Raw genomic sequence first — 16,324 nt, forward strand, 5'->3', positions numbered from 1 at the left:
CCAAGTGATTTTTTTCTTTCCATAAAACAGTATGCTTTACGAACTGCTCCAGGAGATAATTCCCTCTTTCTCCACCAATGTAAAATCAATCTATATTACACCATCCAAAAACTAAACTACTATGTTCAATGGGGCTAGAAATTGAACTGTAAGCAGAAACTCAAGATAAAACATGAATAAAAGGTGAGGGATCTGAAGCCTGCAGCTAGAACCCAAAGGATGTTACCTCAACATAGGGGGACTGTTGTGGTAATCTCATTCAACAAAGCTCTGTCATGTGGGAATAAATCAATAAAAAGCACGACCAGACTTCTAGAAAAATGGTGCAAAAGGCCAAAAGGCCAGAGAGAAAACCCTTTAGCTAACAACCTCTTAAAATGCTAGATGAAATATAGCAAATTTGTTTTTTAATGCATGGCTGAGTTGTAAGAAAGAATGAGAGATCCTCAAGTAACTTAAGCCAAGGGGGAGCCGAGAGCCTGTATGGTGGTGTCCCTGGGGTGGTTATTAGACAAGAAGGGAGTGGGACCTGGGTTTTTACCCATGCAAGACCAGGAGATGAGGCCTTGTGATATTAGGACTAAGACCCTTGCATAAAACTGAGACCTCTAGAGGGCTGCAACTCTAATGAAAGGGGAACTAAAACACTCTACCAACCAGCCCAGTTAAGAAGTAACCTCTTCTCTACCTAGCCACATCACAGTGAAACTGAAGAACACCCAAATACAGACAGAAACATGTTAAAAGCAAAAAGAGAAGAAAGGCTGATTACTCAAAAGGAACAACTGGACTAACAACATACTTGTAAATAGGTGCAAGCAGCCAAACAAAATTGAAATAATACTGCCATATTGATAAGGAAAAATTAGCTTGGTTTAGAATTGTAGGCTAAATTACCATTCAAGGATAAAATAAAAGCATTTTCAGACCAAGGAGGACCGAAGATAACTTTCACTCCTTAGTCTTCACTGAAAAAAAAATTACTAGAAAAAAAAAATCACCAGAAACAATGGAGAGGAAAAAACATTACTCAACACATGTCAATCAAAATAAGTGTTTACTGTAAGGATTAATCATAATGATCATAATTGATGGGAGGATAAAGACAACATGAAACTAAAATACTACGCAATAATAAAATGTAAGACTGGAGGACAGTGATAAGAGTTAAAGCATTCTAAGGTACTGTTCAAGAAGAGGATAGAATGATTAACAACTAGTTATACATTCCAGCAATGGAATGTAAAACTTCCAATCAAGTAAAAGGAAGAAAAGAAAAGAAAATTCAATCAATTCAATACCAATCAGAAAAGGGAAAAAGAAGCAGAGAAAAATGCATGGTAAATAGCACATAATCAAATGATACAAACACATCCAAATATAGCAGTAACCACAATAAATATAAAAAGACTAAACTCACCAGTTAAAAGACAGATTCTCACATTGGATAAGATTACAAAATCCAGCTATATGCTGTTTACAAGAGACACACCTAAAACATAATGACATAGAAAAGTTGAAAGTAAAAGAATGGGAAAAGGTACACCAAGAAAATAACTAACCAAGAAAAATCTGGTATAGCTATATTATCAGGCAAAATAGCTCTTAAGTTAAAAACATATCTAGGGATAAAGATTATTACAAAACAGAAGCAATTCTCCAGGGAGATATAACAATCCTGAACCTGAATGTTCTTAATGATATAGTCCCAAAATATATAAAGAAAAAAATTACAAGTCAACAAACCCATGGTCATAGTGGGAAATTTTAACACATCCTTCTCAGTAATTGATAGGTCAAGAAGGCAAAAATTAGAAGAATACAGAAGATGTGAACAACACAATTCATAAGCCTGACCAAATGAGTATATAAAGAAACCTGCATCCAACAACCAGAGAACACAGATTCAATCTTTTCAAGCACACAGACATTTACAAAAAAGGACCGTGTACAGGTAGGCCACAAAGCAATTTTCAATAAATATTTAAGAATCCATATAACAGGTCTTATTTTCTGACTACAATGTAGTAACACTGGAAATCAACAATAAAAAGGTAGCCCCTCAAAACCCACTAAACCAGAAATTGAAGCATATACTTTTAATAATTCATGAGCCAAAGAAGAAATTAGAAGGAAAAGGTTTAGAATTAAAACTGAACACCAATATACAAAGTACATTTCAAAACCTGTGAAACATAGCTAAAGCAATCCTTAGAAGAAAATTTATAATCTTCCATGTTTCCACTAGAAAAGACTTAAACTTAACTATCCAACTCAAGAAGTTAAAAAAGAACAAATGAACTAAAAAAAAAAAAAAGATGGAAGGAAATATTTTTTAAAAAGTGTAAATAATATAATTTAAACAAAGTAACAATCAACAAAACCAAAACAAAAGCCAATTCTCTGAAAAGATAAATAAAATAAAACAGACCTCTGGCAAAATTGATACAGCAAAAGAAAAGGCACAAGAAAACAGTATTAGCAATGAAAAGGGGCACACAGATTTGGTAGAGGTTTTAAAAATCATGAGAGAATTCTACGAACAAATTTATGCCCCAAAATTTGAAATATCAGATGAAATGAACAATTTTCTATGAAAATATAATTACCAAAACTGGCTTAAAAAGAAAACATGTATCTGAATATACCTATACTCAATACAGGAATTAAATCAATAGATTAACTGTTACCACAAAAAGCAAATGAAAAAAAGCAGAAACCTCACAAGACTAAGATGGCTTTTACGAGTTCCACCAGACCTACAAAGATGAAATTATACAGATCTGATACATAATGATGTGATATACAATAGAACACAGAAAAGGAAGCCATGCTCTTCAACTCATCTTGGGGATAGTATAACCATGATACAAAAAAACCTAACACTAAAAGTATAAGAAAATTATAAGCTGATCTCATTTATGAAAATAAAGGTAAAAATTCTAAAGAAATTATCAGCAAACTATATAAAAATGTATATAATGACCTATATAATGACCAAGTGGATTGTTTGTCCCAGAAACACAAAGATAAATCTGTTAATATAATTTACCATATTAACAGCTTTAAAAACATCTCAATATATGTAGAAAAAATTTTCAGACTGGGCACAGTGGCTCACACCTGTAATCCTAGCACTTTGGAAGACTGAGGCAGGTGGATCACTTGAACTCAGGAATTCAAGACCAGCCTGGGCAACATGGTGAAACCCTGTCTCTACAGAAAATACAAAAATTACCTGGGTGTGGTGGCGTGCACTTGTAGTCTCAGCTACTCGAGAGGCTGAGGTGGGAAAATAACTTAAGCCTAGGAGGCTGAGGCTGCAGTGAACTGTGATTACACCACTGTACTCCAGCCTGGGTGGCAAAGCGAGACCCTGTCTCAAAAAAATTCTGAAAGTTTTAACAGCCATTCAAAATGAAAGCTCTCAGCAAGCAAAGTACAGATTGAAACTTTATTAACCAGTGTTAAGTACAGCAAATGTCACTGGGACTATTTAAAGTTAAGGACAAGAATACTTGTCACTTTCTTTTCTACACTGTACTTAGAAGTCATAGCCTAAAGCAGTAAGACAGGAAGAAATAAAAAGTATGTGACTTAGAAGAAAAATAAAATTGTCCTTATGTGAAGATAAGGACCTATTGTCTGAAGACCATATGATTGTTCATGGGAAATCTAAGCGACTATTAGAAATAAGAGCATCTTCAGCAATATTGCTAAATAAAAAAATCAACAGCATACTTATACAAAACCCATTAGAAAATGTGCCTTTAAAAAAGTCAATAAAAAAATAAAGGTATATAAGAACAAATCTTTAATAAATGTGCAAGAACTTTAGAAGAAAATTATGACACTTTTTAAAAGACAACTCTCCTAAATGGAGAAACAGATTTATAAGACTCAATATCATAATTTTCTCCAAATTGATGCATACATTCAATGCAATTCCAATCAAAATCCCAACACAATATTTCACAAAACTTAAGGAGCTGGTTCTAAAATTCATGTGGATGAATAAAGGGCCTAGAATAGTCCAGGATAATTTTAAATATAGTTAGGAATAGTTAACAGGTAAGAGAAATAGTTACACAACTCACTCTCCACATCGCAAGACTTAACATAAAAGCTACAATAATTAAAACAAATTAATATTGAGGAAGGAGAGACCAAAAAATTGGAAAATAATAGATTATGGCATCAGAATAAATTATGTATAGTATCTTATTATATGATGGATATGGCATTAGAAATAAGTAGAGGAAATAATAAACTATTCAATAAACAGTCTGAGACAATTGGCTTGCCACTTGAAAAAATTAAACTGAATCCCTATGTCATACTCAACACCAAAATAAATTCTAGATGGGCTAAAGACTTAAATATGAAAAGCAAAACTTTAAAACTTTTAGAATAAAAGTCTTACTTTGGACTAGGGAAAGAATTCTTAAGATAGGAAAAGCACAAAACATAAAGGAAAAGACTAATGAATTTGTCTACACAAAAACTACACATATATGTATATCGAAGACATTGTAAAGTTCAAAGACAAGCCACAAATTGAAAGATGTTGGAAATGCATAAATCTGAAAAAGGATCAGTATCCAGGAGACAGAAAGGACTCTTACAAATCAACTCAAAAAAGCAATCAAATAATGGGCTAAGGACATTAACAGGCAATTCATATAACAACAACAAAAAAGGAAACTTGAATGACCAATAAGCAATATTCAACTTTACTAACAATCAGGGAAATTCAAATTGAAATTATGTGATACCATGTCTTCCATTAAACAGACATAAAGTTTTAAGTCTGATAACTCCAAGGACCAAGAAGGATGTGTGGAAATGGGAATTCAAATATGGCAGCATAGAAACTGGATATCAAATATTGTTGAAGAGATGGTAAAATCAAAGAAGTACTTGAGAGAGCAATTTGTCAATATGTTGAATGTGAAGACATGCTACCCTATGACCCATCAATTCTACTTTGAGATAGCTATTCTAGAGCAGTGCTTCTCAAACCACCTGTGGAAAAATACCTTACCTTTTTGTGTGTGTATTTCAATTTATGAGGAACCAATAAATTGTAAACTATAACAAAAACAAATTACAGTACTAGAAAAAAGAAATTAAAAAACAAAAACATAAATATATAAGCTCTGATTTTTTATTTTTGATTCAACAGACATAAAACTGCTGTATTAAAATGCTATAAAAACTTCTAAACACTCATTCTCAATTTCTATACTCATCTCATTGAGGCTCAGAAACAAAAAGCTGGTGATAGGGCACTGGCCCACACCATACACTGAGTAATGCTACTCTATGGAAACCTGCACATGTACACTGTATCCAGGAGGCACTGGATAAGAATGTTATTGTGGCAGTGTTTGTAATAAGGAAAAACTAGAAACTACCTAACTCCTCATTGGTAATTCATTACAATAAAACTAGGCCCGCTCATAGAACGAAAAATGTAGCAGCTAAACATAAACGATCTACCATCTCACAGAGAATAAGGATAAAATGCCAAAAAAAGAAAAAATCCCTAGATCTACATGTATCAATATGAATAAAACTCAATGTTAGTGAAAATAAGGCAAGTTGTAAAATAAGAGTTTGGTAACATTTTTGTAGTTTCAAACAGGTAAAACAATTTTATAAACTCTTACACACTTACAGTAAAAGTATAAAAATATGGACAGAAAGGATATACATCAACTTCAGAATAGAAGTTAATCTGAGAAGAAAAGTCAAAGAGTAGGACCAGTGAACATACAAAGGAGGCTTCAAACAGATATTTAATTTTTTTCTTAAAAAAAAAAAAAAAGATCTGAAGGGAATAAGGCAAAATCTTAAGCTTTCATTATATTGTTCTCTGTACATTCCTCTATAATTGAATTATTTAATTAAAGATGTATTAAACTTTCAGCATCAACCGAGGGCCAAAGAGGGCAATCTAATACACAGTGACCTGGAGTATAAGGGAAGCCACTGTAATCTGAAATGAACTGTAAACAATCCTGCCATGCTTTCATAAACGGCACTACCTATCCAGGTAAAACTAAGTGCATGTCAACAACAAGGATGCATACTACAATCTGAAACTTTGGTCAAAAAACTTCCCTATTCTTAATCTGTACAAATGAAAATGCTATCCACAGACTCAAGCTGCCTATAAACCCTATCCATTCTCCCTGTTCTTGAAAGAGACAACAGTAGCATCTAACAACATGATGGACAGCCACAGCACATCATTAAGTACTGGTCTCACCTACTTTTAAAGGCTTTAGAACATCTGAATGTACAGTGGAGATTCCAGAATTCCCCACTACCTATGATGCAATCTTACTGAGTCCCATGATACCCAAAATGAGACTGACAAAGAACAGGACAAACAAATGTACTTAGAGACAATCATTTCAGAGAAATCCAAGTACCTATAACTGCCTTTTTCCTCTCTGTCTCAGCTTCTTTTTCCACAACCTTTTGTTTCTGTGCAGCTATAAGGAGTTTTGTCTTCTCAGCCTCCCTGTGAAGCAAAATGTTATAAAAATTAGAAATGATTCTCCTATGTGCAGTCACAGCCAGTAATTCTGACCCTACAGTGAGTCAGAGAACCGTTTTGTCAACATGAGCTTTTGGACCCATTAAGGTAGGTTAAGAGAGGTGTTACTTTATTTTACTTATAATAAATCTGAGGTTGAAAGATTCAATGATTTGCCCAAAGTCACCCAGAGATAGGAAAAAAATTTAGTACATTTGAATTTTAGTTTGGCTTTCTTCTCCTAGTTGTATTGTGTAAAGCCTGTGATTTGGAAGGGAATATATCAATACTTCCTTTGCTGTTAGACCTCCAGCTAGTCCATACAGCAGCTCTGTGCCAATTAGAAAACGGCACCAGCCGTTTCTACAGTCCTGCAGGTGCATGGTTTGACATGCAGAATGAAGCTGGGTTTCAGCCCCTGCCCTCCTCAGGTGGGCACCCATGTGCAGTGACCATATTTGTTGCACAGAAGATATAACTAGGTGGTAGTTATTAGGTAGTAAACTGGGGCTTACAGTAAGGAGAATTTTCTAAGGCTTCCAGTGTCTAATACAGGTTGAGCATTTCTGATCTGAAAATTTGAAATCCAAAATGCTCCAAAATCTGAAACTTTTTGAGAGCCCACATTATGACACAAGTGGAAAATTCCACACATAAGCACTTAAGGTAAACTTTGTTTCATGCACAAAATTATTTAAAATATTTTATAAAGTTACCTTCAGGCTATAGGTGTATATGGGACATAAATAAAATACCTTAAAAAAAAAAAACTAACCACTATACCAACAAGGAAGAACATAAATAAATTTTATATTTAGACCTGGGTCCCATCCCTGAGATATCTCATTATGTCTATGCAAATATTCCAGAATCTTTACAAATCCAAAATTTAAAATACTTCTGGTCCCAAGCATTTCGGATAAGGGGTACTAAACCTGTAATGGAAATGGCTGGCATATTACTAAGCATGTACAAGTAGCTACTGGGTAACCACGTGGCAGAAATGGTATAAGAAAACACTACTATCAGGTGCAAGGTTATACTGGATCATCCCAAGGTAGCTTTTAATTCTGGAATTCCAATAGTCCATAAAATTAAGAAAGATCCAGAATCATCTGAAAAGTAACTCCAATAGTTTCCCCAAAACACTTCCCCTCAAAGTTTCCCCTTTCCTCTGATAACATTGATAAAGACATCAAATGACAGTCTGAATACTATGATTTATTTGAGAGCAGAAAACACACAATATTCATTTTTCCGTCACCAGAAGCAATCTTTTTTTTTTTTTTTTTTTGAGATGGAGTCTCACTCTGTCACCCAGGCTGGAGTGCAGTGGCACTATCTCGACTCACTGCAAGCTTCGCCTCCTGAGTTCACGCCATTCTCCTGCCTCAGCCTCCCGAGTAGCTGGGACTACAGGCGCCCACCACCATGCCTGGCTAATTTTTTGTATTTTTAGTAGAGACGGGGTTTCATTGTGTTAGCTAGGATGGTCTCGATCTCCTGACCTCGTGATCCGCCCACCTTGGCCTCCCAAAAGTGCTGGGATTACAGGCATGAGCCACCGCACCCAGCCTAAGCAATCATATTTAAAGCCTAAGACATGCTGACAGTTTAATAAAATTTTCTTTTTGAGACAGAGTTTCGTTCTTTTGCCCAGGTTGGAGTGCAATGGCGTGGTCTCGGCTCACTGCAACCTCTACCTCCCCGGTTGAAGCGACTCTCCTACCTCAGCCTCCCCAGTAGCTGGGATTATAGGTGCCTGCCACCATGTCCAGCTAATTTTTCTATTTTTACTGGAGACAGGGTTTCACCATGTTGGCCAGGCTGGTCTCAAACTCTTGAACTCAGGTGATCCGCCGGCCTCAGCCTCCTGAAGTGCTATGATTATAGGCATAAGCCACCACAGCCCGCCTATAAATATTTTTTCAATAAGTGGATCACATCCATAATCTACCCAGCCTGGCAGTCTACATTTTATACTTTTAAAAGAAGAGTTCTTTGTCTACAATGAAAAAGAGAAAACAGGCTGGGTGTGGTGACTCAAGCCTGTAATCCCAGTACTTTGGGAGGCCAAGGCAGGAGGACTGCTTGAGCCCAGGAGTTTGAGACCAGGCTGGGCAACAGGGCAAAACTCCGTCTCTATGAAAAATACAAAATTTAGCTAGGTGTGGTGGCATGCACTGGTAGTCCCAACTACTCAGGAGGCTGAGGTGGGAGGATCGCTTAATCACTTGAGCCTGGGAGGTTGAGACTGCAGTGAGCCGTGATTGTGCCACTGCACTGCAGTCTGGGCAACAGAGCAAGACCTTGTCTCAAAAAAAAAAAAATTAAGAAAAAGAGAAATAAAACTCTGTATGAGCTCAGAGAAGGTATGAGGGAAAAGGAAAATATAAAAGAAGAAAAAAACAATAAAAATCTGCATGGTAACAAAAAGGACTCAGAAGTAAACAACCTCATAAAGTAGTATTACTGCTCCTTGGACTTCCAGTATTTATACATCTGTGGTATCCTTGACTTGTGCAAATTTATTTTTCCAGCGTCTTATACTTTCCCTTTTAACACATCAGCCAAATTTCCTAAAGACTTTTATTTCTTCTTTTCAGTACCAGTCATACGAAAACAATATTGCCATTTCAAACACAGTAAGTATTCCCCTAAAAGGGATCCTGTCAGAAACTAATTTCATGTCTTCTCATTCCCAGTCAGCCCTGGATACATAAAAGAGAAGACTACCAGGAGTCAACAGAAGCAAGGCTTCCCTAGAGGCACATTATAAAGAACCAGGTCTAATTTTAGATATACAATCACATACAATGGAAAACCAAACTTTATACCAACAAGGTATCTATTCCTACCATTACAACACAGAAACAAAATATGAGCACTCTCTTCAACCCTAACGGCTTCAGGACTCTTTCCTCTATTAAATATTTAATTCAAGGTACTATTCATATAAAATTATAGCTCCTTAAGCTTCCAGCAATAGTTTTACAGCAAACTGCATCTTTAGCCACTGAAACTGCTCCTGAAATGTCCATACATAAAGAGAACACTAGTAAGAGTCTAGTGGGAATTAAGACACAAGAATAGGCAATATTACTAGAGTAAGAGTAAAGAAGATAAGACACATACTCCACCCCAGAGTGTATTGTCTCACATGTTTCCTCTAGACTGGAATATTAATATGCAGACAGCCCTAAACAGAAATATTGGGATCCCATGCATATTACTCACATTAACTCAAAATTTCTTCTTATGGCTTCTGGGATTTTGGGTTTTGTAACACGCACAGCCTAAAAAATAAAAGTGAAAAAGCCAAAGTATATTTGAAAGATAAATCTTCAAATTAAATCTTCTACAGAAAAGCCCCTCAAATGATACTAATCTAATAAACAACAGCTATAATATAGCGGCCTACTAACACGTTTGGGGATCCCACCAGAACATTTACTTTTCATGCCATCACACCAAGAATCAAAGACAAGCTGCTTCTTATTTCCTTACACAATGCCAGATTACAGGAAAAACCATCTACCCACTGAGGAAACAACTGCCTTATGAAAAAGGTTCTCACTTAAAAGATGTTTTACAAAGGTCGTTAGATACTTTTGCTTTCTTTTTCAACCCTGTAAACCAAAGAAGCCGGGAAGGCAAAGTTCCAAGACTGAAATTGTAAAGTCAGAAACAATTAGTCAAATACAAAAACAAACAAAAAAACCCAGGTTGGTGTATACAATTTAATACAGTGAGTAGTGAGTAAATTAATCTATCACTTCCAACCCCTGCAATCACTTGGTATTTGCTGTAAGTAAACAGCCCACTGGCTGAAGGAAAACAAATATCAATTAAAAGCTTATATTCTTTCTTCCTTAACTCTCACTTAGAACAAAGTCTGTCTTTGTAGAGGCTGTTTACCAGACACTTTGTTTCCCTAATCATAGTGTTCTTTGACACAATTAAGATTATCTACCTGGACAGTACTGTTTTTTGAAGGCTGACTTTTCTACATCAAGGACTTGATCTCTCAAAAGCTTTTGATTTTACTAAACATACGATACCCCGCCGCCCCACCTATACTGCAAACACACACAAAAAACACTTTGCTGGTCTGAAGAAGTTTTCCTTCTGAAAACTGGCTAACCTTTTAAGAATAACAAAGCCTTTAAGCACTTAGTCTTCTTTAAAGGCTTTTAAAACTTTTAAGCGATATAGCATTTCCTATATGAAATAGATGAGTCAAATTTGTAGGTAATTTTGAGGACAATCATAACTAAATATAAGGATTACAGTGGAATGGAATAAGCAGCTGAAGGCTGTGTGGAAAAAACTCACAACACACTGGCAGTGACACATGTGAGGCCTCACAACTCAGTGGAGACATGCAGAAGACAAATAAAAATTCAGGACCAGATTTTGTGAGATGTCAGATTTCACCATGTGACTAGCAGACATAAGATTACTTCCAATATGGATTAATATGATTCAAGGAAGCACTGTCATACTGCATTTAATTAAGAGACTGGCCACATATCTTTTTAGCCTTATTAAAAGAAGCGTAAAGTAGGACTTTTTTTTTTTTTTTTGAGATGGAGTTTTGCTCTTGTTACCCAGGCTGGAGTGCGGTGGTGCAATCTCAGTTCACTGCAACCTCCGCCTCCCAGGTTCAAGCGATTCTTCTGCCTCAGCCTCCTTAGTTGCTGGGATTACAGGCATGCGCCACCAAGCCCGACTAATTTTTGTATTGTTTTTTAGTAGAGACAGGGTTTCACTGTGTTGGTCAAGCTGGTCTCGAACTCCTGAACTCAGGTGATCCAACCACCTCGGCCTCCCAAAGTGCTGGGATTACAGGCGTGAGCCACCACACTCGGCCAGGACTGTCTTTTGAAGACTCCTATTTTGCTGAATGAGGCTGAAGAACATACTACATTGTGCTTGCCAATCTTGGGAAATCTCACAGATTTTCAAATATGTGAAAACATAAACACTTACTGTACAGATACCATGAGTAAGTTGCATCAAAAGAGATTTTAAAAGTAAAAGTGGGAAGTCCCACTCAGGCACCCCTCTCCCTCACAGGAGAGAGAGCTATTCTCCTTTCTGTTTCTTTTGCCTATTAAACCTCTGCTCTTAACCTCAAATAATAAAATAATGCCCCCATCCCACTCACATACATAGAGTGAATGGAGGAAAAAAATGGCTAATGAAAGGAATATATGTATTGAAACTGACCCCTGGGTTTTAAGCATATATTATATATCAAAAGCCAGTCTATAATATAGTCACTCCCTTAAATAACATAGGAAAAAAAAAATCAAAGATGACCATTTTCATCATTCTAATTTGCCAGAGTAGTTTTTCAAGAAGAAAAATGGTATATAAATATATGGAAAGGAAAAAAATATAATAGTGACTGTAAAAATAGTAACCCAAAAATTACTAGAAGGCAGTGAATTCAAGTTGTAGATATAAGATAAATCTACCAAGAATCAATCACATTCCTCAATGATTAAAAAAAAAAAAGACTACATATTGAACAGCATTAAAATTCATTAAATCCATTGGTATTAATTTAACTTAGGATATGAGTTTCTCCCCTAAATCAGAAATTCTAAAAACCAAAAAGGCTGATATGATAAAGTAAAGCCATAAACTATGTTTCTATTTTTAACTTATATTGGAGGATTGCATGAGGCCAGGAGTTTGAGACCAGCCTGGGCAACACGGCAAAGGCCCATCTCTACAAAAAATAAAAAAATTAGCCAGATGTGGGGGTGTGTACCTGTACTCCTAGCTACTTGGGAGGCTAAGGCAGGAGAATCACTTGAGCCCAGGAGTTCAAGGCTGCAGTGACCTATGATCATGCCACTGCACTCCAGCCTGGGCAACAGAGGGAGACCCTGTCTCAAAACAAAACAAAACAAAACAACATGTATATGACCACTTAGGTGCCTGATATAGCTTGAAAATATCGATAATGAAAACTCATCTGGAAGATTAAGCTGGCAGAAACAGCAAAGGCCATTATTTTTTAAAAGATGATGTCTCTTGCCAGATTTTAAAATAAAAAGTTGAATTATCACAACCATATGGTAATGTGTTAAAAATAACAAAGCTCAAAAACAGCCTTGAAATTCTTAAAATGCATTCCAACTATTGTAAAAAAAATTTTATAACAAGACAAAAGCAACCAAAGCAAAGGAGCTCTTCTCTTCTCAGGGTATGCTTAAGTTATTGCAAAATATAAAAATTATTTTAAAATTTTTTTAAACCCTAAAACAATGGAGATCTCTACCACTTTAAGAACGTATAACAAAACTACATTTTTTCAATCAATAACTTTTTATAAAAACAGCAAATAAATATAAGTAAATTCAAAAGATCCTTCTGGCTGTTGTGCAGAAAATGAAGTAGACAAAGGTAAAAGTGAAAGTGGGGAAAGAAGACAGGCGGCTACTGCTACTGCACATGTCAAGGTTAGAGTTGGTAGCTTGGCTTGAGATGACAGTGAAGATGGAGGTGTGGTCAGTTTTATTAATACATGGATTTTGGTGGTGGAATCTGCAGGACATAGGGACTGATTAGATGCTGAGGGTGAGGCGATTGTCAAAGATGCCTCCTACACTTCTAGATTGGCTTGAGGGGAAAGAGTTACCATTAACTGACAAGATGAAAAACACAGGAGAAAATTCGATTTGATGAGAAAAGACCAAGGACTCAATAACTAATGAAAGAGTAGGAATGGGAAGATCAATGGAACAGAACTAAGTTCAGAAAAAGACTCTAGTATATAATGGAATGCAGTATGTAACATAAAAACTATTTCAAAGAAGGGGGAAGATGGAAAAATAAACTATTCAGTAATTACCGCTGTTACCCAATTTGGGGTTGAGGGGATGGAGCTGAAGGCCTACCTTGCAACTGAGATCAAAATGGGTTGCAGATGAATTAAAAGATTTAAATCTAAGAATACAACTGTAAAAGCAGATACAATTTTTATAATTTCTAATTTTAATTGCTATACTTTTAAGGTGGTGAAAAGCTCTTAAAACATGCCAGCTCAGCAACACACCATAAAGACAAAATCACTGAAATTACTATGTAAAACATGAACACTTCAAAGTTATCAGCAAGGAAAAAACAAAGTTAAATGACAAAGAAAAAATTTGAAGAAAATGTTTCCTATAAATATAAAAAAGAGCTACAATAACTAACATATGAAAAAGTTTATTTTTAAAAACGAATTCTACCCCTCTCAAAGGGTAAGGTTCAAAAACAAGTTCTCTATATACAAATGCTATTTATTTATTTATTTATAGACAGGGTTTTGCTCTGTTGCCCAGACAAGAGTACAGCATGAACACAGTTCACTGCAGCCTCAACCTGCTGTGTTCAAGTCATCCTCCCACCTCAGCCTCCCAAGTAGCTGGGACTACAGGCACATGCCACCACACCTACCTAATTTTTTAAAAAAATTTTTTGTGGAGAAGGGGTCTCACTATGTTGTCCAAGCTGACCTCAAACTCCTGGGCTCAAGGGAGCTTTCCACCTCAGCCTCCTAAAGTGGTGGGATTACAGATGTGAGCCGCTATGCCCAGCCAAAAATAGCTTATTAAAATCAGTTAGAAAAACCATTAACTACAAAAATGAGCAAAACCAACAATTTATAAATGAAATAAAAACAGCTAATAACCTAGGGTATTCAACTTCAATAATTAACACAAAATAACAGACTAATTTTCTCCAAAAGGATTAAGAGAGAAAGGGAAAGCTTGCATCTGCTAATTATTTGGGTACAATCATGCAATCAAATGTGTAAGAACTACAGCTTACCAACACTGCTAATGAGGGGGGGAGCTGCTAAAATTTTTCTAAAAGGTGATTCGGTAGTATGTATCAATAAGCCCCCAAACAGGGCATACACTTTGATCATCAATCCCACTTCAAGAATTTATTGTAAGAGAGGGATTTAAAAAGATGTACAGAATATATAAGCTTGGTCATTCCAACATGCATACAGTAGTAAAAAATTTGAAACCATAGAGATTCACTAAATATAACCATTAAAAGTAATGATTTACCAAACCTATATTTTTGTTTTGGAAAGATGTTCATAGACAATGTTAGTGAAAAAAGCAAGTATGGTATGATTCTGCTTTAGTTGAGCATGTATGCATTTATATCTACAAACATTTGTTCATATACATTAAGAATAGTCGAGAAAGATATAACAAATGATGTTATCCCTGCATAATAAGATTACTGGTGAATTTCATTTTATTCTTCATCATTTTCCTAGTATCTAACTTTTTTCTACAACATAAATAACGTGTGTGTATAAAAATTCCAAATTTATACAGAACAAATCAGTAAGAAAGAAAACAATCCAACAGAAAAATGGGCAAAAGATATGAATAGGCAATCAGCAGAAGACAGTATAAATGACCAATAAATGTATCAAAAGATGTTCAACCTCATTAACAACCAAAGGAATGCAAATCAAAGGGAGATATAATTGCCCACCCATCCATATGGTAACAATCAGTATGTCTGATTGCTTCCAATGTTGGTGAGTTCATGGGTCACAATTATTTGCACATATTGCTGTTAAGAATGTACATTTGTACAGTCAGTTTGAAAGATAATTTGTACATACAAGAACATGTGTCATGAATGTTCATTACACTATTGTTTAATAGCAAAAAACTGGGAACAGAAAAATGGCTAAGTAATATAAGGCAAGGAATTCTAAACAACAGTTGAATGAGCTAGATCTCTGAGTAACACCCTGGGCAGAATCTAAGAGCTGACCTTCACATTCACTATCTTTAAAACTAAAAAGCTACTCCAGCTACAACTGACTTGAACAACTCAGAGGATTTTACAAAGTTACCTCTGGACATTTCAAACGACCCCTTAACTCTGGTGGCTCACCCTCAAGCGCCTGAGATAATGACATTGCATGAATGAGGCCATGAGGAAAACCCCACCTATCTTTCAGTCTTGTTTTTGAGAAGCACGAACACATACAATCACAGTGAGCGCACACTCTCAGTAGCAGTGGTGCTGAGTGTAAAGAATTGAGAGACATGTGATAAGCTTTAGTTGCAGTAATGTTCATCACAACAATCAACAATCAACTGGTCTCCTAGAGCTCCTGAGAAAGGACACTAGAGAAGCCTCAATATAACTTCTTAGGTCATCTGGATCCAGAGCAGTGGCTTTCGAATGTTACTGACAGTGGACACAGTAAGAAACACATTTTGCACTGACGTCCAATATAAACACCTACCCCGCCACACTGTGAAACACAAGTGTCACAGAATATTTAAACTTATTACATACCATTTCTTTTCCTATTCTATTCCATTTTATTTAAAATGCTGTTCATGACTCACTAAAGTTGATTTTACAACCCACAATCTGGAAAACACAGTGACCCAAAAAAAAGCAGGGGTAAAACCTCTCACCATTCTATTTCCCAACGTCACCATCACCACTACCACTAAATTCACCTGCTACCTTGTTTTTACTAGGGCTGTCCCTCCCACTTGAAATACCTTTCTCATTCTTCCCCCATTTAAATCCAATTAATTTTTCCAAACCTACTTAAAATCTCAACTCAATCACAGCCCTCTCCTAGACACACTGTCTTCCAATGTTCTCTTACTCTTACAGCAATAATCATTCAATAGATTCATCTGTCAATTAATACTTTGTGATAACTATTTTGTCCAGGATTGTTCAAATTTTACACTTGAACTCCCTTTTCATAAT

At 35.8% G+C, this 16,324-nt stretch overlaps 1 protein-coding gene across 14 annotated transcripts in view, besides 1 other annotated feature; it reads right to left on the reverse strand.

Annotated features, from left to right (window-relative positions):
* ERLIN1 (ER lipid raft associated 1) overlaps positions 1–16,324 on the reverse strand; it is a 35,936-nt gene that overhangs the window by 7,470 nt on the left and 12,142 nt on the right. For 8 of the 14 annotated variants that reach the window (NM_001347857.2, NM_001347856.2, NM_001347858.2 and 5 more), the window contains 2 exons: positions 9,785–9,843; positions 6,441–6,532 (listed from right to left, as the gene is read on the reverse strand). In NM_001347857.2, coding sequence (NP_001334786.1) covers positions 6,441–6,532; positions 9,785–9,843 — 151 coding nt within the window. Of the gene's footprint in view, positions 1–1,420; positions 1,493–6,440; positions 6,533–9,784; positions 9,844–16,324 lie in introns of all 14 variants that reach the window. The other 6 variants (NR_144755.2, NR_144757.2, NR_144758.2 and 3 more) reach the window with 2 other exon arrangements.
* Positions 796–845: a silencer, noted in NCBI's record as "silent region_2702". NCBI's record gives its function as "represses an Ori minimal core promoter by ATAC-STARR-seq in GM12878 lymphoblastoid cells {active_cell/tissue: GM12878}" and the evidence as "EXISTENCE:reporter gene assay evidence [ECO:0000049][PMID:35858748]".

The sequence above is a fragment of the Homo sapiens genome, chromosome 10 (assembly GCF_000001405.40).
Source record: "Homo sapiens chromosome 10, GRCh38.p14 Primary Assembly".
Taxonomy (NCBI): Eukaryota; Metazoa; Chordata; class Mammalia; order Primates; family Hominidae; genus Homo; species Homo sapiens.